This window comes from Homo sapiens, chromosome 16, assembly GCF_000001405.40.
Source record: "Homo sapiens chromosome 16, GRCh38.p14 Primary Assembly".
NCBI lineage: Eukaryota > Metazoa > Chordata > Mammalia > Primates > Hominidae > Homo > Homo sapiens.
Genome location: NC_000016.10, coordinates 49,618,643 through 49,639,733, shown reverse-complemented (window position 1 = coordinate 49,639,733; position 21,091 = coordinate 49,618,643). Strand labels below are relative to the sequence as shown.

At 52.9% G+C, this 21,091-nt stretch overlaps 1 protein-coding gene across 15 annotated transcripts in view; it reads left to right on the top strand.

The window, feature by feature from the left end:
* ZNF423 (zinc finger protein 423) overlaps window positions 1–21,091 on the top strand; it is a 371,756-nt gene that overhangs the window by 219,546 nt on the left and 131,119 nt on the right. For all 15 annotated transcript variants that reach the window (XM_047433809.1, NM_001379286.1, XM_047433808.1 and 12 more), the window contains 2 exons: window positions 860–4,074; window positions 13,480–13,564. In XM_047433809.1, the coding sequence (XP_047289765.1) occupies window positions 860–4,074; window positions 13,480–13,564 (3,300 nt within the window). The remainder of the gene's footprint in view (window positions 1–859; window positions 4,075–13,479; window positions 13,565–21,091) is intronic.

Below are 21,091 nucleotides of genomic sequence, written 5' to 3'. Positions count from 1 at the left end.
CAGTGGGGTTAAGGGTCCGCCTGGGTCTGAGCTCTGTGGCCTTCCATGTCCTCATTCATCCTCCAATCACTGTCACCATCTCTCCATCTGTCTTGATCCTGGGTGGGGTTGGGGCAAATCCAGGGGTGCAGTGGGAACAAAGAAAACAAGGGTCTCAGGATGGCCTGGGCCAGGAAACCCACAGATGCCTCTTCAGTGCCCTAGGTTCCCTTCCCACCTGAGCACTGAAGTCTGCTGTCTCTTGCCCTGTGATTTCACACCTCCTATGTCTTGTCTACCACCTGAAGCAGCAGCTTCCAGCTCCATCAGTCCACCCATACCCAGAGAATGGTGCATTCTATGGCCAATCTGATAAGGGCATTTTTGTTGTTGCAAAATTTTGCCTGTGTTCATAAGGACCAGTGGGATTTCCTTCCCTCCAGGATTAGGGATTTGAGGGGAGTTGACTCCCAGGTGTGGATCAAGTGACAGGACTTGTCTTCCTTTTGGCCTATGGGACTGGTGGTCTGTGAGTTCGTTTCCAGTGACTTTGTCCAGGCTGCCCCTCCTTTCCCTATCAGGAAAGTGGCCGAGAGCCTCCCCTCTGATGGGGGGTATCATGTCCTGCCAGGTCCAGGCAAGTGTTGTGAAGGGAAAAGGCGCTCCCCCTTCATTATCTGCCGCCCCTCTGGCGTGCCCTCTGCAGACAGGAAGGCCCTGGTGTCCACTTGCTTCCGGCCCCTGCCCCTCCCCACAGCCCCCTGCAGCCGTTGGCCAGCTGCACAGCCTCAGCCCGCGTGCTGTCGAGAAGCTGGCTCTGTCCTTGTTTCTCGGCAGCCCTGGGAATTGCCTCTAATATCCTCTCTGCCTTCTCTTGCAGATGGTGATGACGACCCACAACTCTCCTGGGTGGCCTCGTCTCCCTCCAGCAAGGATGTTGCGTCACCCACGCAGATGATCGGAGATGGTTGTGACCTCGGCCTCGGCGAGGAGGAAGGGGGCACGGGCCTGCCATACCCTTGCCAGTTCTGCGACAAGTCCTTCATCCGCTTGAGCTACTTGAAGAGGCACGAGCAGATCCACAGCGACAAGCTGCCGTTCAAGTGCACCTACTGCAGCCGCCTCTTCAAGCACAAGAGGAGCCGTGACCGGCACATCAAGCTGCATACGGGCGACAAGAAGTATCACTGCCACGAGTGCGAGGCAGCCTTCTCCCGCAGCGACCACCTCAAGATCCACCTGAAGACCCACAGCTCCAGCAAGCCCTTCAAGTGCACTGTGTGCAAGCGCGGCTTCTCCTCCACCAGCTCGCTGCAGAGCCACATGCAGGCCCACAAAAAGAACAAGGAGCATCTGGCCAAGTCGGAGAAGGAAGCCAAGAAGGACGACTTCATGTGCGACTACTGCGAGGACACCTTCAGCCAGACGGAGGAGCTGGAGAAGCACGTGCTCACCCGCCACCCGCAGCTGTCCGAGAAGGCGGACCTGCAGTGCATTCACTGCCCTGAGGTCTTCGTCGACGAGAACACACTGCTCGCCCATATCCACCAAGCCCACGCCAACCAGAAACACAAGTGCCCCATGTGCCCTGAGCAGTTCTCCTCAGTGGAAGGTGTCTACTGCCACCTGGACAGCCACCGGCAGCCCGACTCCAGCAACCACAGTGTCAGTCCCGACCCTGTACTGGGCAGCGTGGCCTCCATGAGCAGCGCCACACCCGACTCCAGCGCCTCTGTGGAGCGTGGCTCCACCCCGGACTCCACCTTGAAGCCGCTGCGGGGGCAGAAGAAGATGCGGGATGACGGGCAGGGCTGGACCAAGGTGGTCTATAGCTGCCCCTATTGTTCCAAGCGGGACTTTAACAGCCTGGCCGTGCTGGAGATCCACCTGAAGACCATCCACGCGGACAAGCCCCAGCAGAGCCACACATGTCAGATCTGCCTGGACTCCATGCCCACCCTCTACAACCTCAACGAGCACGTTCGCAAGCTGCACAAGAACCATGCCTACCCTGTGATGCAGTTTGGCAACATCTCTGCCTTCCACTGCAACTACTGCCCCGAGATGTTCGCCGACATCAATAGCCTGCAGGAGCACATCCGCGTCTCCCACTGCGGCCCCAACGCCAACCCCTCTGACGGTAATAATGCTTTCTTCTGCAACCAGTGCTCCATGGGTTTCCTTACTGAGTCCTCCCTCACCGAGCACATCCAGCAGGCCCACTGCAGTGTGGGCAGTGCCAAACTAGAGTCTCCGGTGGTGCAGCCCACGCAGTCCTTCATGGAGGTCTATTCCTGCCCCTACTGCACCAACTCCCCCATCTTTGGCTCCATCCTGAAACTCACCAAGCACATCAAGGAGAACCACAAGAACATTCCACTGGCCCACAGCAAGAAGTCCAAGGCCGAGCAGAGCCCAGTCTCGTCCGATGTGGAGGTGTCTTCCCCGAAGCGGCAGCGGCTCTCAGCAAGCGCCAACTCCATCTCCAATGGGGAGTATCCTTGCAATCAATGCGACCTCAAGTTCTCCAACTTTGAGAGCTTCCAGACCCACCTGAAGCTGCACCTGGAGCTGCTGCTGCGGAAGCAAGCGTGCCCCCAGTGCAAAGAGGACTTTGACTCCCAGGAGTCCCTCCTGCAGCACCTGACAGTGCATTACATGACCACGTCGACCCACTATGTGTGCGAGAGCTGCGACAAGCAATTTTCCTCGGTGGATGACCTGCAGAAGCACCTGCTGGACATGCACACCTTTGTGTTGTACCACTGCACCCTGTGTCAGGAGGTCTTCGACTCCAAGGTGTCCATCCAGGTGCACCTGGCGGTGAAGCACAGCAATGAGAAGAAGATGTACCGCTGCACGGCCTGCAACTGGGACTTCCGCAAGGAGGCTGACCTGCAGGTGCACGTCAAACACAGCCACCTGGGCAACCCGGCCAAGGCTCACAAGTGCATCTTCTGTGGGGAGACCTTCAGCACCGAGGTGGAGCTGCAGTGCCACATCACCACACACAGCAAGAAGTATAACTGTAAGTTCTGCAGCAAGGCCTTCCACGCCATCATCCTGCTGGAGAAGCACCTGCGGGAGAAGCACTGTGTGTTTGATGCTGCGACCGAGAACGGCACGGCCAATGGGGTACCCCCAATGGCCACCAAGAAAGCTGAGCCTGCTGACCTGCAGGGCATGCTGCTTAAGAACCCTGAGGCACCTAACAGCCATGAGGCCAGCGAGGATGACGTGGACGCGTCGGAGCCCATGTACGGCTGTGACATCTGTGGGGCGGCCTACACCATGGAGGTGCTGCTGCAGAATCACCGGCTGCGGGACCACAATATCCGGCCGGGCGAGGATGATGGCTCACGCAAGAAGGCTGAGTTTATCAAGGGCAGTCACAAGTGCAACGTTTGTTCACGGACTTTCTTCTCGGAGAACGGGCTACGGGAGCACCTGCAGACGCACCGGGGCCCTGCCAAGCACTACATGTGTCCCATCTGTGGTGAGCGCTTCCCTTCGCTGCTGACGCTCACCGAACACAAGGTGACCCACAGCAAGAGCCTGGACACGGGCACCTGTCGCATCTGCAAGATGCCCCTGCAGAGCGAGGAGGAGTTTATTGAGCACTGCCAGATGCACCCTGACCTGCGCAACTCACTCACGGGCTTCCGCTGTGTGGTCTGCATGCAGACAGTCACTTCCACGCTTGAGCTCAAGATCCATGGCACCTTCCACATGCAGAAGCTGGCGGGCAGCTCAGCGGCGTCCTCCCCCAATGGCCAGGGGCTGCAGAAGCTCTACAAGTGCGCCCTGTGCCTCAAGGAGTTCCGCAGCAAGCAGGACCTGGTGAAGCTTGACGTCAATGGGCTGCCCTACGGCCTCTGCGCCGGCTGCATGGCCCGCAGCGCCAACGGACAGGTGGGTGGCCTGGCCCCGCCCGAGCCCGCCGACCGGCCCTGTGCCGGCCTCCGTTGCCCCGAGTGCAGTGTCAAGTTTGAGAGTGCCGAAGACCTGGAGAGCCACATGCAGGTGGACCACCGTGACCTCACGCCGGAGACCAGTGGGCCCCGGAAAGGCACCCAGACATCGCCAGTGCCCCGGGTAAGTGCAGTCCACCTCATCCTGCTCCCTGCTCCTCTCCTTGGGGCTCCTCTGGTCCCCACAGGAGCCACGTACCCTGAGTGCCGTGTTTCCAAGAAGCGGCGCTATCGCGCAGTGGCAAAACAGAACTGCTGTGCTGTAGACTCCTTGAGTTTGAACCTCAGCACTGCCATTGCCTTTCCAGCCATGTGATGGGCTCATGTTATTTATCTCTCTGGGTCTCATTTGTCAAATGCTAATGTATAAAATGGGAATAATAATTGTCCCAACCTCAGAGAATTGTTGTAAGAGGCCGAGGACATCATACAGGTAATGTGCCTGGCACAGTGGCTGATGCACAGTGAGGGCACCATGGGTGGTGGCTTGTGTCTTTGTTGTTGAGCTGGGGTATGACATACTCATTTGCTTATTGGGTCTCCTTAGGCAAGTCACTGACTTCTCTGGGCCTTAGATCCAGGATTCTTTTGACAGTTCATAGAGATCACACACACACAAGGGGCCGAGAGCCCAGCACTCATGGCTCAGTGGTGCTGGCTGTCATCACCAGCTGGTACTCTTATCACCAGTGGCATCATTTCAGTTAGTGCAGTTGCTGGTATGTGGAAGGCCCTTTGATGTGGTTTCAATTGCTGTTATTGTTAATGACTGATTGATTCGTTCATCAAATTTTCCCTGTTCATCAAAGCACCCATTATGTTTGGAGGTGCCTGGGAGCCAAGGAGAACCAGAAATGGACCCTGACTTGGGACTTGTGGACCAGAGGGAGCCACAGGCCCATGATAAGTGGCTTTCAATGAGCTGGGGAGAAGTCTAGGCTATGGATGGGCCCACACAGGCCTTGGGTACAGGGGCTGAGGGGCAACCAATGGTGGGCCTGGAGTCTGTGTGGCCCTTGGGTGTCAGACAGCACAGGTGTGGGGTTCCCATTGAGTCTGTGTTGTCTGTTTCCAGACCAAGGAGGTGCCAGGCGGATCTCAGGAGTATATTTCCCTCAAGGACCGCTGCTGGCACCATTGGCAGGGAGGCAGGATTTGGGGAAGGGCCATCTGCCATAGGCACCGGCTGGGACACAGGGGTGTTTGCTGAGGGTGTTTTTCCTGGGACCCTGTGATTTTGAGGGGGTGAGGAGGGCAGAGGGGGAGAGAAGAGGGCCAGAGAGAGTAAAGGGAGGACCCCACAGCGGAAGGGGCCTCAGTGCCTGCTGACCTTGACTTCTGGTGTTACACACAGGCCCACGGGAGCCAAGAGGGCCAGGGGACCCGTCCGTGGATATCTTCCTGAAGAGAGGACAACTTGAATGAAAATAGCGAGGCCGGGTGCTGTGGCTGACACCTATAGTCCCAGCACTTTTTGAGTTTGGAAGATCAAGGCTGCAGTTAGCTATGATCACACCATTGCATTCCAGCCTGGGTGGCAGAGTGGGACCCTGTTCCTTAAAAAAAAAAAAAAAAAAAAGCCAGGTGTGGTGGCTCACGCCTGTAATCCCAGCACTTTGGGAGGCTGAGGCAGGTGGATGACGAGGTCAGGAGATTGAGACCATCCTGGCCAACACGGTGAAACCCCGTCTCTACTAAAAATACAAAAATTTAGGTGGGCATAGTGGCATACACCTGTAGTCCCAGATACTCACGAGGCTGAGGCAGGAGAATTGCTTGAACCCACGAGGCAGAGGTTGCAGTGAGCCAAGATCACACCACTGCATTCTAGCCTGGGTGACAGAGGAAGACTCCATCTCAAAAAAAAAAAGAAAGAAAGAAAGGAAGAAAAAGAAACAGAGCTGCATGTCTGGCTGGGGCCTGGAGTCTCTCCTCAAAGTCCTGTCTGGAGTGGAGAGCTCCTTTTAGGGGCTATAGCAGTACCCCACCCTCTCAGGACCCTTTGTCTGAGCCAGGGTTCTAAACAGGGCCCCAGGAGGACCCCCTCCAGGGGCTGAGCATGGGCACTGGTTTCTGCTGCCCCGCTCTGTCCCCCTCAGCCTTTCTAGGGGGGCATAGGTGCTCTCAGGGAATGTTTTGGCCTTGGAGTCAGGTGGCCTGGGTTAAAATCTCCTTCTCCCAGGACCCAGCGGTAATTTGACCTCTCTGGGCCTCTGTGTTCCACTACGAAGCCAGAGGTAGTGGCAGTGGTAATGAATAGTGATAGTAATGGAATAGTAATAGAGTCTCTCCTGGGCTGACATCTCTGCATCTAGGGAGAAACTGGGGGGCCTCTCTGGTTTTTTAACCATTATCTGCTCTGATTGGTCACTGCCTGTTCCCCATCATTTGTGAACCATTGTGACTATTTCTCATGCTGACCTTAGCGTTTTGCTCTGAGGATTAAATGTGTAAATTAAGTGCCAAGCACATAGTAAATGTCGCTGATATTTTTCCCTTTTACAATGGCAATCCACACTCATTGAGGAGTAAGGACTTGCCAAGCACTTTCTATTTAATCCTTACAATATTTCATGTTGTAAATGAGGAAACTGAGGCATACCACAATGAGGTTGCTTGCCTCAAGCCCCCAGCTTTCGAGAGCTGAGAGGAGACTTGAACCCAGGCAGGCAGCATCTGCACCACAGCCCCTGATCTTGACCAACAGTCCACCCAGCAGCTCTGGACCACATCCTGGCTGCAGGAAGGGAAAGGCCAGCTGGGGTGGGGTCCCGGGTGGTCACAGCTGTGCTCAGGCTGTGGGGCAGTGCAGCTGGGCTGGGTCACTGTGCCCGCTTCTCCTGGGTGCCCCTCAACCCAGATCACCCCTCCCTTTCTGGCACTGCCCACCATGGTGCTGGGTTTTCTGATGGCCAGGGAGCTGTTTCTAGAGCCTCCAAAGCCTTGGGCTGTGTGAGCCTCCCTGGAGTGCTCTGCATCCGGCATCAAGCACCACTTTGTGAAAGCCCCTACTATGTGAGTGGTGCTCTGCTGGGCACCAACTTTTAGGTCATCTCTGTAGCAACAATCCAGGAACCTTGCTGTGGCCTGTGTTTTGGTAAAGAGGGGCTCCAGCTCAGAAAGGTGATGCCATATACCCAAGGATGCACAGCTGTGCGCGGCTGTGCAGGGACTGAAACTCAAGGGGACCGTGTTTCCTGGGGGCCCCCAGGCCTTCCTCTCCCTGCCTTTGGGCCTTGTGTGAGCAGGGATGAGCTGAAAATCATGGCTCTGCCTGCCTGGAGGCCTGGGGAGATGGGCCATTGCAGAAACAAAGCCCAGGTACCTCCCCAGGCAAGGCGGCATTCTCTGGGGCCTTGCCCCCTGTGTGGGCACACCTGGGGACAGGGGCCCAGATGTCAGTTAGCCCACCCCTTCCCTCCCTGAGGACCCACTCATGTAAGAACAGACTCTGGGGGTTTCACAGGGGCTTGGGGGCTGGCAGGCTGGGACCCTCGGGAGTGTATCCATAGCAACCAGCTCTCAGAGGACTGGGTTCCTGTGGGGCTGAGGCTGCTGTCGGCTGGAGCATGAAGCATTGAAGTTCCACCTCCCCCTCTGTTTATGGGTAATGACAACATCACCCCAACTCGAGACCAGCACGGGCAGACCCTGGCCATCCATTGATCCTGCAGATCCCCACGGTGCCTTTCTCTGCTAGGTGGGACAGGCCAGGTGTTCTCATACCCATTTTACAGCCAAGTAAACAGATATCAAGGTTAGAGGGCCTATCCAGATCCCACTAGCTTTCTGTCACCTAGACCAGGCCTGGCAGGAGATCTGGGACATGGAGCTGAGAATGGCAGCTCAGACAGTGGGCATCGAATTCCAGTTCTCCTACTCACCAGCAAGAGGCTCTGACCAAGTGATGCAGCCTCTTGAAACTCCACTTACCCCATCCCTAGGGTGGAGCTTGCAGAGGGTTTGTGAGTATTTAGCATAAATGCTGCCCACACATGGCAAGTGCTCAGTGAACATTGGCAGTGCTCACGATCATGGAAATATAACAGCTCTGGCTGGCTTTTCCTTCTCTCCTTCCTGTCTTGAAGGGCCTGGCCATTTCTTCCCTGCCCTCCCTCTCCTGTCTTTGCCATTCTCAAGTGTGTTTTCTTCCTGCCCGGGGCCCCCCTCTGCAGTTGCTCAGGGCTGTGTTGGGGGAGGCAGCCCTGGCCACAGGCCCTGGAACTCAGCTCTAGTTCTCCTGGGCTGGGCCCCAGGGAAGGGGCTTATGGCAGGGGAGGTGCTTTGAGTGCCAAGTTCTGTCTTTCTGTAATTATATCTCCTAGTGGGGGCTGAAGCTGCAGGAGGAGGGGGTCTCCAGGGGGGTTGAGAGTGGGGATAGACTAGGAATAGATGTTGGGGTGAGGACTGGAGTCCAGCCATGCTTGGAGGGTTTGGGGGCTGGTGAGCCTGTGTGTGTATGTGCCTATGTGTGAGTGCACATGTGAGCACTTATGAGTCTACATGTGTGTACATGAGGGTGTGTGGTACGTGTGGGGATGGGTCTGTGTGTATACTTGTGTCAGAAGCTGCATGCATGTCTGTGGGCGTATTTGGGAGTACCGGTGTGTGTACTGGGGTTGTGGTGAGTGAGCTGAAGGCAGGGTCTCTGGATGAGTGTGAACATGCCCATCTGTGTGGCCTTGTTCACCCATGTGGATGGCCCTGCTTCTCTGGGGGTTGCACATATGTATCTGTGTTACAGGTTGCTGTGTGTAGGGGTTGCGGGTGTGTCTGTGAAGGTCTTGTGTGTTGCTGGTGAGTTGGGGTGAAAGTGAGCATGTGAATGCATACGTGTGCTTGCACATCTGTGTGTGTGTCTTGTGTGTATGTGAGGGGTCAGCCCTTCTCCCGGCCCTTCCCTTGGGAACCCTCTGAACCCTATGAAGCCCAGTGCCCCACCAGGAGGGGCTCAGTTATTGGGCAGTGTTCTTCCTATTACCAAGGGGTGGCAGAGAGGCATTTGAGGGCAGCCTGTTTTCCTGCCCAAGCCCCTGGGGATGTATTTTCCAAGCACAGTGAGCTCCCTTTATTCACCTGCCCCTGAGAAGATCAACCAAGTCACTGTGATCATGGACTGTTCCCTGCATGCCTCTGGACCAGCCATGGCTGCAGCCTCTAGAGACTTGCACCCAAGCAAATCGCCATCCTTGGAGGGGGGACGTGGTCATCTGCCCGCAGCCATTGCTGCTGGTTGGTACCAACCCCATCCTCCCACCCACCCACCTATAGGCCTGGGCGGTCCTCATCCAGCAGGCCTCCCATGGGCTTCCTTGTGATGAAGCTTCCCTTCCTGGGATGTGCTTCATTCATTAATTCACTCATTCCATTCATTCGTTCATTCATTCAACCACCAAAGGCTCTTGCACTTTGCCAAGCAGAGTAGGTGGGGGCACATGTGAGACAGAAGGGATGGTTTTGATGCTGGAGACACCCGAGGTGGTTCATCTCCACGACCATGGCCCTGGAGTTGACCTGAGATGTGTACTCTGGGCTGCATCTCCTGAGAAGACCTCAGGCCCTGTAGTCTCCTTGTGGCCTAGACGTCTTCCTTTGTCTGTGGCAAGGCTGGACTCCCCAGCCCTGTCTTTCTCTCCACCCTGCCCCCGACTTACCTAGCTCTTCCCAGGGCCTTTCCATGCAGAGTGCCTGTGTCTGGGCCCCAGGCTGTGGCCTGTACTCAGGACACAGCGAATCCCCCAGGTCTTCTGAAACACTGTGGGAAAGGCCCCTGGTTTTGTCAGAGCAGGTCCTGGAGCCTGACGCATCCAGCTTCAGCTTCTCCAGTTGTTTCTTCATTCATTCATTTGTTCAAGCAGCATTTTCTTAGCGCCAATAATAATCGTAATAAAAGTTAAATAATTATTATGCACTGACTCTAGGTAAGGCCTGCGCTAGGGTGGTGTGGGTCCAGGACACTGAAGTCATCTTTGGTTCTCTTTGTCACCTCTGCCTGAATAGACTCCTCTGCATATGTTATTCTGCAACTTTATGTGTTCAGCAAATGCTTGTTAAGCACTTCATGTGCTGCCTCAAAGGTAGACAAAACACATTCCTGGCTCTCTGGGTGCTCATGGTGCAAGAGGGGAGCAGATGAACCAATCCACCCTGACACAACAATGTATTAATTACCCAGGGTCCTTTAGCATAAGTTCAGGGATGTGGAGGGGGTCCTGGACCCATTCTGGGGTGAAAAGAGAAGTCTTCTCAGAAGAGATGACATTTGAATTGAGTCAAGGATGGAGGGGGTGTTGCACATAGAGGAACCAGCACAGGCAAAGGCCTGTAGTTACTTAGGGAACTGTGGGTGTGGGTGGAAAGAGGGAAATAGGAACAGAGAACAGGTAGGATAAAATAGAAATTAATTCAAAAGATGGTAGGATTTAAAATCAACCATATTGACAATTACACTAAGTATAAATGGAGTTGAAATTTCAATCAAAAGGTAGAGATTGTCAGATTAGATGCAAAGAAAAAAGCAAGACTCAATTGAAAGCTATCTACAGGGCCTGGACTATAAATATAAAGACACAGGTAGGTTAAAAGTAAAAGGAAAGAAAAGTGTGCACCATGCAAGAGCTCATCATAACATTTCAGAATGATAAAGAGGGAAGTAGGAGCTGAGATGGTTAAGCTACCTGGTGGTTCATCTGGCTGCATAGTTGAGGGTTGGGCCTGGGACCTTGGCCAAGAAGTGTGAAGTCCTGCTCCCTTTTCCAGAAGTAAGAGAAGCCCTCTCATCCCAGGAACCAAAGTGGTCTTCAAAAAACTTGGATATTGTGATTCCAATACCACCCCTCTTTCTTCAAAAAACCCCACAGCCACAGTCCTTCCCTCAGATGGGCAACACCACCTCTGTCCCTGGGGTGTTTCAGAACCATCTGGGATTAGTTGTGTGAGTGAGGTTCACTCTTTGGAACAACTCTTCAAGAAGCTTTGAAGCTTCTCATCTCAGTTTTTCTGCCCTCAGCTCCCACAGGCAGCTGGTACTAGCCCCTGTGTGTGGAAACCAGCTGTAGGAACTCTTGGGGTCATTTGTGCTTAGGGCAGATGAGGAGTTCCTTAGCCACCCTTGAACACCAGAGTTGGCAGGAACAGTGTCCCCTGCTCAGCCACATGGTTATTAGGGTAAGTAAATGGATGAGAAGGTTATTGGATAGGTAGAAAAATAGATAGATAGATGGATGGATGGATGGATGGATGGATGGATAGATGGATGGATGGATATGTGTGTAGATGGACGAATGGGTAGACAGACAATAGGTAGGTGGATGGATGGATAGACTGATGGGTGAATAGATGGATGGATGGGTGGGTGTATGCGTGGATGGGTGGATGTGTGTGTGGATGAATGGGTAGATGGGTGGATGTGTATGTAGATGGATGGGTGGGTAGATAGAGGATGGATGCGTGGGTAGATGGAAGATGGATGAATGGGTAGATGGGTATGTGTGTGTGTAGATGTGTGGATAGGGAGATGGATGGGTAGATGGAGTATGGGTGGATGGGTGTGTGAGTATGTAGATAAATGGGTGGGTAGATGAAGGATGGATGGATGGGTGGATGGGTGGGTATGTATGTAGATGGATGGATGGGTAGATGGACGATGGATGGATGGTTGGAGTAGATGGATGGATGGGTAGATGGAGGGTGGATGGATAGGTGGATGGGTGGGTATGTATATAGATGAATGGATGGGTAGATGGAAGATGGATGGGTGGGTATGTATGTAGATGGATGGATAGGTAGATGGAGGATGGATGGATGGGTGGAGTAGATGGATGGATGGGTAGATGGAGGATGGATGGATGGGTCTATTGGTGGGTGTGTATGTAGATGGGTGGATGGATATATGGATGGATGGGTAGATGGAGGATGGATGGTTGGATGGATGGATGAATGGGTGGATGGATGGGTGTGTATGTAAATGGATGACTGGGTAGATGGGTGGGAATGTATGTAGATGGGTGGATGGGTGGGTGGGTGTTTATGTAGATGGATGGGCGGGTAGATAGAAGATGGATGGATGGATGGATGGATGGGTAGATGGAGGATGGATGAATGGGTATATGGGTATGTGTGTGTGTAGATGTATGGGTGGGGAGACGGACGGGTAGATGGAGTATGGGTGGATGGGTGAGTGAGTATAGATAAATGGATGGGTAGATGGAGGATGGATGGATGGGTGGAATAGATGGATGGATGGGTAGATGGAGGATGGATTGATGGGTGGATGGGTGGGTATGTATATAGACAGATGAATGGGTAGATGGAGGATGGATGGGTGGGTATATATGTAGATGGATGGATGGGTAGATGGAGGATGGATGGATGGGTGGAGTATATGGATGGATAGGTAGATGGAGGATGGATGGATGGGTGGGTATGTATGTAGATGGATGGATGGGTAGATGGAGGATGGATGGGTGGGTATGTATGTAGATGGATGGATGGGTAGATGGAGGATGGATGGGTGGGTATGTATGTAGATGGATGGATGGGTAGATGGAGGATGGATGGATGGGTGGAGTAGATGGATGGATGGGTAGATGGAAAATGGATTGATGGGTAGATGGAGGATGGATGGATGGGTGGATAGGTGGGTGTGTATGTAGATGAATGGATGGGTAGATGGAGGATGGGTGGGTATTATGTAGATGGATGGATGGGTAGATGGAGGATGGATGGATGGGTCTATTGGTGGGTGTATATGTAGATGGATGGATGGGTATATGGATGGATGGGTAGATGGAGGATGGATGGGTATATGGATGGATGGGTAGATGGAGGATGGATGGATGGGTCTATTGGTGGGTGTGTATGTAGATGAATGGATGGGTAGATGGAGGATGGGTGGGTATTATGTAGATGGATGGATGGGTAGATGGAGGATGGATGGATGGGTCTATTGGTGGGTGTATATGTAGATGGATGGATGGGTATATGGATGGATGGGTAGATGGAGGATGGATGGATGGGTCTATTGGTGGGTGTGTATGTAGGTGGATGGATGGGTATATGGATGGATGGGTAGATGGAGGATGGATGGTAGATGGATAGATGAATGAGTGGATGGATGGGTGTGTATGTAAATGGATGAATGGGTAGATGGGTGATTGTGTATGTAGATGGGTGGATGGGTAGATGGAGGATGGATGGGTGGATGTTTGGATGGATGGGGGCATGGGTAGATGGATTTGCCCTTCTAAGCAAGGAGGCCTCCCCTCAGCTCCCTTAAAGCTTCACCTTGAGATGGCAGTTTTCCCAGATCTAGCAGAGAAGCAGCTCCCTTGGAATGTAGCTTCATGCCCCTTCCTCAGTCTGGTAGAGCTGGATTTAGAGGAAGGTGGGAAGAGAATGGCCTGGGGAGACCTAGGAGGGGACTGGAACCATTCTGGAAAGTCTTGACCCAGGCCCCCTAGGAACTTTTGCTTTCTCCTTTTTCCTACCTCCTGCCTCTCTAAATCTTTTATTTTTGGTTTCCAAACAGAAAAAGACATACCAGTGCATCAAGTGCCAGATGACCTTCGAGAACGAGAGAGAGATCCAAATCCACGTTGCCAACCACATGATTGGTAAGAGAGCATTTCCTCCCAGCCATGCTGGAGCTACTCTTTGGGGTTTTAAATTTGCGGTTCCAATCATCATTTTACTGGCTTTTAGGCCAAAGGACAGAGTCACTGCTGCTGTTTCTGAGACATTGCACATGGGAGTGAAAATGTCAGAATGGGGGCCCTTTCTCCATCTGAGCCTTCTTGTCGCAGCTCCACTCACATTATAATCAAACTTTTGACAATCTCTTCCATTTTCCAGCATAAATTTCCCTCCGTTTCTGAAACAAAGTGCTTTCCAATTGTCAAGCACTCAGGAGCAATTATGCTTCAATTTTGTGTGTCATGACATTGAATAGATTTAACTGCTCACATTTCCCTACTCAACATGGTGAATTCCTCAGGCACATTGTCAAAACAGAACGCTTACAAAGTTATTTCAGTACTTTTCCCATTCCTCTTCAAGTGGTTTTGGACTTTGGAAAATTCAGCCTCTCTAGAAGGGCAGCTTGCAAAGTTCTATGGAGTTCACACACTTGGCACAAGAGACCTGGGAAGCTGTGAAGTCCCCTCTACCTTGGATGGGTGGATGTGGTCTCCTTGGCAGCTAGGGGTGCCCTCATTGTAGGAGAGGGCACAGCTGGATGTTCTGATGTTCTGATAGGCATGGAGGTTCTAAGGGAAGGGGCTGGCCTGGGATGGGCTGGGGCCTGGGAGAGCTTCAAGAAGCCTGGTACCCTGGGTCTTTGTTGGACATGTGATCACTTTCTCCAAGACTCTAGTCTGAGCAGTGAAGTTGCAGCCATGGGTTGAACTTCATCTTTTTGTTAATTTTTTATTTTAGACAGAGCCTCACTCTGTCACCCAGGCTGGAGTGCAGTGGTGCAATCTTTGCTCACTGCAACCTCTGCCACCCGGGTTCAAGCGATTTTCCTGCCTCAGCCTCCCAAGTAGCTGGGATTACAGGCACCTGCCACTGCGCCTGGCTAATTTTTCACCATCTTGGTCAGGCTGGTCTTGAACTCCTGACCTCGTGATCCACCCGCCTTGGCCTCCCAAAGTGCTGGGATTATAGGCGTGAGCCACCACGCCTGGCCTGAACTACTTCTTTACTTCATCTCTGTTTTTCTTCTTCTAGCATCTTTTCATTGTTGTCTTAACAGCTATGCCATCGGAGTACTGGTTTACAAAACCCTTTACTGCGTACATTTAGAAAACTTCTCATAAGTGAGAAGCTTAATGAATTTTCATGAACTAAACACACTTGTGTAACCCACACACAGATCAAGAAACAGACTATTTCCAGCATTTCAGAAGCTTCCCTCTTGGGCTCCTTCAGGCCCTCCCTTACCACCAACAGGTCATCACGATGCTGATGTCTAATAATATAGGTTGGTTTTGCCTGATTTCTAGTTTATGGAAATGGAATCACAGTTTCTACTCGTTTGCACCTGACATCTTTCACTTTTCACATTATTGCCTCTAGTTAGAGATCATGCCTCTCATTGGTGTATAATAATCTGTCACAGGAGCATGCCAACCACTCTTTATCTGTTTGATTCTTGATGGGCCCATTCTGAAATAGTGCTGGCATATTCATGGACATGTCTTCTTTTGTTTTGGTTTGGTTTGGTTTTTTTTGAGACAGAGTCTCACTCTGTCACCCAGGCTGGAGTGCAGTGGCACGATCTCTGCCCACTGCAACCTCCGCCTCGCAGGTTCAAGTGATTCTCCTGCCTCAGCCTCCCAGGCAGCTGGTACTACAGGCATGCAGCATCTCCCCTGGCTAATTTTTTTGTACTTTTAGTAGAGACAGGGTTTCACTATGTTGGCCAGGCTGGTCTCAAACTCCTGACCTCAAGTGATCTGCCCATCTCAGCCTCCCGAATTTCTGGGATTACAGGCATGAGTCACCATACCTGGCCCCATGTACATATCTACTGATGAACATATGTATGTGATTTTATTGTGATTATAGGAATATATAGATATTATATTTTGCGTTTATATATAATACATTATATACTGTTATATACTATATTCTTTATATGTGTAAATATGTATATAAAATGGGAATATAGGATTTGGATGGACTTGCTGAGTCACAGGTTAAATGATGTTCACCTTTAGTAAATGCTGACAAATACATTTCTGAAGTGGTTGTATGGACTTAACGCCCCCACCAGTGGTGTATGAGAGTTGGAGTTTGCTCCAAATTTGTACAGCCATCAAGGTTTTGTTTAAGGTTTGCATTGCAAAGGCCCTTCTTTAGTGAAGGTGCTCTCAGGGCAGGTATGGGTCCCCTGGTCCCTACCTAGCCACAGCATTGGCCAGTCCCCCTGACCCCCAACCTATCTGACAGCCTCTACCCCCAGTGCCTTGGAGCCAGTCTCCTGCAGCCACTGACTCCCAATCGTGTGTGTGGTGGGGCTCACCTGGCGGAGAGTGGGGAGGAGGGGCCCAGGAAGAGCAGGTGGGGGCTGTGGGAGCTTGGCCTGACAGGGAGATTGGTGGCTTCTTAATTTCTCCGTCTGAAAGCCCCCTGCTGAAGGATAAGAAGGGGCACTCCCCTGTCAGTCACTGGCTGCTGAGAGTCCTTTCACGGAGTGTCAGGGAGGTGAAGATGAAGATATCTAAAAATGTTTGCTTTTGTAGCAGATGTTAATGCGCGTTCCTGTTTGTAAGCATGAAGGGCGCAAGCCTGGCTAATTGGACTGCAGTGATTTCTGAGGTGTTTCTGCCCCCTCCCTCCTCTCTTCTACCTTGCCTTTAGTGCAGAGCCTGGAAGCTATGTGTCCTCAAGTGCAAGGCAAGGGGGTTGCTCTTAACTAGAGTTGTGGGAAACACAAAAGGAGGGTGTGAGGGGCATTTGGGCCTGTGTATGAGCTGTGGGCCGGGCTTCTGAGGGAAGGCGCCTTGGCTGGGGGGCTGGACAGGTCCCCTTGCCCATTCCTGCCCTGCAGCGCTGTCAGCTGACCTGGAGCCCAGGAACGTGGGAGTTGGAGGCCTGGAGAGCAGGCAGCAGGGAGTGGTTGGTTGGTCCCCGAGTGCAGATTCCAGTTCACTGCGGCATGGAACCCCGGGTGAGCCAGACCTCCGGTGGCTGGGCAGTCCCTCTCGCTCTAACCTGCACTCCCTACCTGCCTGCCCTCCCCGAGCCTCATCAACCCAGTCTACCAGAGGACCTTGACTGAGCACCTATGGCATGTTGAGAGTTGCAGCGGTCTCTGTGGGTGACGGGAGTACAGGGGACATGGTCTCTGCTTCAGAGATCATCCCATAGAAGACACTGCACATAGCATGCAGCAAAGAGGTCACATTGAATAAGGATGCTAACAGCTGCTACTGACTCAGCCTTTCTATGTGCCAGGCACTTTACATGGGCACTAGTTCCCCATCTGACAGATGAGGAACCCGGGGCTTAGAGAGGTTACGTGAGTTACCCAAGTCCTTCCAGCCTGAGTAATGGAGGCAGAGTCTGAACCACAGCTAGGGTCCCTCCATTGTGTTTGGAGCCCCTGCCAGGGCCTGTGGTGGGAGAGACCTCAGGGTTCCCTCTCCAGGGGAAGGCTGATGGGCATGCAGGTAACTGCAGTGCAGTGATGTGGGTGCTCCCAGAACAGGGCCCCCTGGGCATTGAAGGATGAAGAGGGGGGACGTTGCCTTCGGAGAGATGGCTGAACATCAGGAGGAGGCTCTGGAACAATGGGTTTCTGCCAGGCTGCGAGGGTGATGAGCCACTGCCTATAGCAGGATGGGGGGTGAGCAGAGCAGGTGAGTCTGGGGGGCTGTAGGTGCTTGGCTTGGCCAAGACTGAGGCATTGTGGGGAGTGAGAATGGGGAGGGGGTTGGGGTGAGCCATGGAGCACCTCCGATACCAAGTGGAGGGGTTAGGGTTTGTCCTTCACCCCGTAGGCCAGGGTCCAACTTTGGGGGCCCCTTGGCTATGGTTTACTAGGCTTCTCTTGAAAAACCACAAGAGGTGGCAGCAAGGGCTTCACATTCCCGCAATCATCATTCCCACCTGGCGTGACTTAGCAGCAGCAGCAGTTTCCTGTATGTAGGCAAGGCATGCATTCCCAGGCATCATGGTCTTGCTCAGTTAAGTCTCCAGCCTGGTCCCTGTGGGTACCTGAGTTTAAACCTTGGACTTAAGCGCTAGGGAGCCATTGAAGGTTTCAGAGCAGGGTATATCCTGGCCTGAGCCTTAGGAAGAAGAATCTGGCTGCGGTGTTGAGAAGGAACCAGTTGGGAAGAGAACGAAGACCCACCTGGTGTGGTCCTGGGGTGAGTGAACAGGGCAGGGGGAGAAGAGGAGTTGATGGAACTTAGATGTGGCTTGTGCTGTGATTCTGGCTGGCCCTGGTGGCTTGGGAAGGCTGCTGGGGAAATGGTGAGAGGCAGACACTGCAGGCCTGGTTTGGGGCTGGCTCTGCAATCCCAGTAAATCTTTTGGGGCCCAGTGTCCCAGTGGATGGCTTCTCCTGCTAAATGGTCTGAGCCCAGAGTGGCTGCCCTGCCGCTGACGGGGGTAAAAGTCCCCCTTAGTGGCACCAGGGGGACTTGGTGGGTAGAAGTGGCCCTGTTCAGCTCTGCAGCCTTCTCATAAACTCAGGGCACTTGGGGGTCTGAGGCAGGCCTCCCCTGGGACCCGGACTGCTGGAGAGCTCCCCTGCGGGGCGGTAAACCGGCCTTTTTATAGCGGGGGCCTCTGCATGGCTCTGCAGCCCGGAGACCCTGGGAGTTATGATGACTCAGGGACATGTCTCCTTGGAAACATTTTCCCAGCACCCCTCTCCTGGCTGCTGCTTGGAGGGGAGTGATTTGGATCTGATAGAAAGGCGAGGGTCTTTGGAAACCTTTCAATAGCAGGGTCTCCTTTGAAATCCCCCCTCCGCATGGAGAATGAGGCCCCTTCCCTGGGACTCCCCCAGCTTTTGAAATGGCTTTGACACTTCCTCCCCCAGAAGGCACATGAAAAACTTGGAGCAGCCCAGAGCTCTGTGCTGTGGCCTCCTGCCGGGTTGACCCAGCTCTGCCCAGTCGCCCTTTCCCCACCTCCCCTTCACCCCCTCCGAGGACTCTGGGAGGATGACTCCCACCTCTGCCGCCCCAGGAAATTGCTCTGCAGGAGGCCCCTGCCTTGGGCTCCCCGGGGGGGCTGCTGAAGGAGAGAGAGGGAGGCTTATGGGGGGCTTGGCCCAGAGGAAGCTGGTCCCCCACGGCTGGGAAGGGAGGAGCAGTGGGTCTGCCCACATGTGTTGAACATATATGTATAATGTATGTACACTGCCCTCCTGGGGCACATGGCACCTCACCCTGGGGGGCAGGGCCTGAGTCTGGAGACCCCCAGGAAGCCGATTTGCTGGAGAGGCCTTACTTTTAGTTTGTTTTGGGTGGGGATGGCTGGATAAGGGGTCTGAGAACTTGTCCTTGAGATAACAAACTTGCCATGACCCAGGTTGGCCCCAAGGGAGTGACTCAGCCTCTGGGCCCCTGGACGTCCTCACGCAGGGCCTCACGGGCCCCTTGGGGGAGCCCCGGGGAGGGTCAGGGCTGGGAAGGGATGGTCCTCAGGGAATCTTGTCAGGAACGCTTGCCCTTGCTGTCCTTGGAAAGTGGCTGTGGACTCTCTGGCGGGCAGCCAGGCCAGAGCCAGGCCTGTCCCGGTGGGGCATTAGTCATTCCGGAGGCCTGCTTTTCATGCTCACGCCGGCCCTTTCCCTGGGTGCCTTCAAGGGCTGGGCTCTGCTGTCAGGGGCAAATACATGGGGGAGGAAGTGGGTGTTTGGAAAATCAACCCCTCCTGCCTCCTGCCCAGGCTCTTAAAGTGTCCCCAGTGCCAGCTTCTGTCCTTGTGTGTCCTCTTGTCCCCAGCCCTCCCCTGTCACTGTGGCAGGACTGGCCCTGGCCAACCTGGAGGGAGGCATGTGTTTTGTGTCTGTGTGTGTATGTGTCTGTGTGTGTATGTGTATGTGTGTGTCTGTGTGTGTATGTGTATGTGTGTGTATGTGTGTGTTGTGTGTGTGTGGTGTGTGTGTGTGTGTGTGTGTGTGTGTGTAGAAGAGAGAGAGGGAAAGAGGGAGACAGACAGAGAGAGGGTTTTTCTACCTTACAAGTCTTTATGAAGCACATCCCTGGAGATACTTTCAAACCACCTTGCAGAGCCAGGGCCCACTGTTCAAGCTGCCATTTGGACCCTGGCCCCGTGCTGAAGGCCCAGCCTGCAGCATTTTGGAGGGGAAGGAGTCTCTGGTCCAAGGAGGACAGTCTGGAGTGGAAGTCAGTGTCTCGCCCCAGCTCCAGGGAGATACAAAAAACCCAAATAGAACCACAGAGGAAAATCTCATGAACATGAAAAGAAAAAGGGGTTCCTGTCTCCTTTCTGCCAGGATCACGTGTTGCTGAACCGGGCTGTGTCAGGCTCTTCAATGGTGCTTTTGATTCAGGTAACACCAGACCCAAAACATCTGTCTAACCTTAATATGTGATAAAAATGTCTCCCTCTCCCTCCAGAGATCATGTTTCAGGTTCTGGAACTGTTCTGTCAGAATAACAAGCCTGTACAGCAAGACTATAATCCAATTCTTTTTTATTCTTTTTTTTTTCGTTGCCAAACCCCCAAACTAGGGCATAGTCACTTCCCCCTCAACAGTCTTCCTGGCTGAGAGAACCAGCCCAAAGGACTTGGTTTCCCTGACTTTGAATCCCGTTGGTTCATTCGAGGAAGCTGTTTAGGTCTATGGAGAATCCATCAGTTCTGAATTTTAAAATAGTGGAAAATTTCTCATTTTCTTGAGTTCCTTTTGTATGCGTATGTGTTTGTTTGTTTGTTTTGGGGGAAGGCCTCTGTCATTGAGGTTTCTTCTAGTAGTAACCTCATACCTTCATGTTCAGTAAACACTATTAAAATCCTCGGTGGGCTCTGTGAGGGGCCGCTAACCCAGCTCAGGAGATGATAACCTGCAAGGTCAATGTAACGTCACAAGTCTAAGATAAGGGAGCTCAGAGGACAGGCATGTTGCCCAATCTGGGTATTCCAGGAAAACTTCCTGGAAGAGGTTACACCTAATCAGGGTCTCAGAGTATAAGAAGTAAGGTGGGAGGGGAATTCCAGGCAAAGAAACTAGTACAAGCCAATTATAGAGAAAAGAGGTCCATGTAGTATGTAGGGACACTGTACACAATTCAGTACTGCAACAGAACAAACTTTGAGGCAGGAGGTGGGTGGATCACAGCAAAGGGGATGAGGTAGAGTAGGTGAGAGAAGGTGAGGATGTTGGATAGGAGGATATGGGCTGGAGAAACATTTAAGAGACATAACCAGCAGGATTTGCTTATTGAGTGGACATGGGAGGGGGAGAAGTTAGGAAGACTCAAAGGTCTCAGGTGACCAGGTTTTGGGTGACAGGTGGCAGATGATACCATGCCAGAGGAAGAGCTCTTAGGGACTGGCAGAGAAGACAATGATGCTAGCAGTGGTTCATGTAGCAGTCCATTCTCACACTGTTGTAAGGATCTACCCAAGACTGGGTGATTTATAAAAGAAAA